This window comes from Homo sapiens, chromosome 4, assembly GCF_000001405.40.
Source record: "Homo sapiens chromosome 4, GRCh38.p14 Primary Assembly".
Lineage (NCBI taxonomy): Eukaryota > Metazoa > Chordata > Mammalia > Primates > Hominidae > Homo > Homo sapiens.
In genome coordinates this window covers 55,175,220-55,177,738 of record NC_000004.12, presented here as the reverse complement: position 1 = coordinate 55,177,738, position 2,519 = coordinate 55,175,220, and the positions used below count along the sequence as shown (strand labels likewise).

Below are 2,519 nucleotides of genomic sequence, written 5' to 3'. Positions count from 1 at the left end.
GGGCTCCAAGGTCGAGGCATCCGGCCTCACTAAAGACTAGCACCAGACCACAGGGTTCCTGCCCACCAAAGCCAGAAGGAAGGGAGGAAGGGGAGCTACACTCATTCTCCACACATCCAGACCTTACCCAGACCTAGTCAGCCAAGGGTGATGGTGGAGAAATCTGAGATCCAGCACTGTTTGGAGCAGCTGTATCCAATAGGGCATTCTGGGATGATAAAAACATTCTGAATATATAATATGTAGCCATGAGTAGTGTGTAGCTATGAAACGCTAGACCTGTACCCAGTGATAGGAATTATTATTATTTTTTATTTTAAACATTTTTAATTGTAAAAATAATATAATAACATTAAAAGAGAATTTAAAATAGAAAAACAGTACCCCTCCTAATCCTTACATGCTAACACAGTTATTTGTATATTCTCTGAGTCACAATTCCCTTGTATATCTATTTTTACATTTTAAAAATCATAGAACACATATAAGTTAAAAATCAACTTCTAATTATTCGACTTCTAAGGACATCTAGGAAGAGAGCTAAACTATTTCTGAGTAAAGAGCAGTGAAAATAAACCTCATTTTTTTGATAATTATTTTAAGAAATAAAAGGGAAGTCAAATAGGATAAGTGTGTGGGGAATTAAATTTTAAGTGTTCACATTTAAAATTAAAGAGGCATTAGCGGCTGTGAAACCAGACAGTGCATATTCTAGATGGACTATTTTGTGTACTGGATTGAGCTATATTTTAAAGTAGACAGGATGAAAACTTAATGTTTCTCCTCTGACAACTGGGGATTGTAAAGAAGAATGGGTTAGTTACAGTTCAAATAAGGAAACTCCCTCTTTTCTGTATGTCCAACGGTTGTGAGAGAAATCTGTGACCCCCTCCACATTATTGCTAATGAATATGAGCTCACTGGTGAAAACTCTGGAAAATACAGGTAAGCTAAAAGGAAAATCAGCAAACATCTCTAGTCCCATCACTTCCCTTTTTGTTTTAATAAATATCTGTCCAGTCATGTGACTGTAGGTGTTATATGTGTGTGTGTGTTTATTTCTACGAGTGAAATTACAGTGTCCTATTGTTTTAAAATTTGCTTTTAACCCTGAATTACATCACAAATACCCTCCAAATGAAAGCATCGAGGCAGTCTTCAGTGTGATCAGGTCATGAACAATGCCTTGATGAGTGTCCTGATCGCTGATATTTCTACACAGCCACAGCTCTTGCCTTGACTACTGCCCCACTCCATCCTATGTCCTGCCAGCATCTGTGAAATCCCACGGATGCATCCCATGTCCCTTCCCATCAACCCACCCATCCACCCTGCTCTTTCTCCCTCCTGATAACCCACCTTGCCACTCGGGGAAGAATTAGAGGAAGAGAGTTTAACCTCACTTCAGTCCTGTTGAGCATTTCCACATTCCGCTGATTGGGAAACGGTAGGTCCTCTCTCTTGGTTGGGAGTGGGGTTCTCCGCTTGTCTCCCTCAAGATTTAAGAGGTGAAAAGGCCACCTGGTGGTTTCCTGTTTATGGAAACCTCCTCTTTCCTCACCTCTCCTTCCTGTCCTCTTCTTCCTGTCTTTGCCTTCACGTGCCCCCTGCAGTTTCCGGCTGTGTCCTGACATGGAGGCTTCTCTGAGCTCATGGTAGGGATGTGTGAGAGGATCCCCACCAGCTAGGATCCTTTCGTATTTCATTTTCTCAGCTATAAATTAGTTACAAAACCCTGTTTCTAATTTGATGAATTTCCAGTTTGGGAATGTGTCCCCAACCTGACTCCATTCTCTCAGTGGCAAACTGTTGCTTGTCCCTGAGACGGATTCCTTAAATTACTAAGCAATGACAAGACTCCAGGGAGTAAGAAAGAGTCATTGGTTGCTGATAATTGTCCTCACATTGTATGAATCATCCGTCCCTATTTGTATGGCAGAGTGAATAAGAAGTTACTGTAAAGAATTGCTGTAAAACTGTTTTACTCATTTTATTCAGAAAAGGCAATGCACAAGGCATGAAATTTGAAAAGCTCAAAAAGGCATAGAATGAAGAGCAGTTCTTCCTCTTACCCAGGTATCCAGAGAGGTTCTTCTCTCCAGAGGTGACTGCTGTTACCATTTTCTTGTGGAGACGACTATGCCTTTAACGTCCAATAAGGTAGCTGTGGCCATGTGTGCTGACTTGTGTGTAGCCATACAACACTTGAAATGTGGCTAATCTGAATTGAGATGTGCTACAAGTGTAAAACGCATACCGTATTAAAGTCTTATGAAAGAAAGAATGTAAAACATCTCATAAATAATTCTTATATTGATTGCATGTTGACATGTTGATAATAGTTTGGATATCATTAAATGCATTTTATCTGTTTAATTTCTTTGTGCTACTAGGGCATTTAAAATTACACATGTGGCTTACATTTGTTGCTTGCATTATATTTCTATCACACAGTCCTGGTCTATACATAAATAAGAATACACATACACAGGGGAGTGTGTGTGTGCGTGAGCAACGCA

The 2,519-nt window shown here is 39.9% G+C and overlaps 1 annotated feature.

The window, feature by feature from the left end:
* Positions 1,045–2,244: an enhancer, noted in NCBI's record as "MED14-independent group 3 enhancer chr4:56041662-56042861 (GRCh37/hg19 assembly coordinates)". NCBI's record gives its function as "activates an origin of replication core promoter dependent on BRD2, BRD4, P300/CBP and CDK7 cofactors, and independent of MED14, by STARR-seq in HCT116 cells {active_cell/tissue: HCT116}" and the evidence as "EXISTENCE:reporter gene assay evidence [ECO:0000049][PMID:35650434]".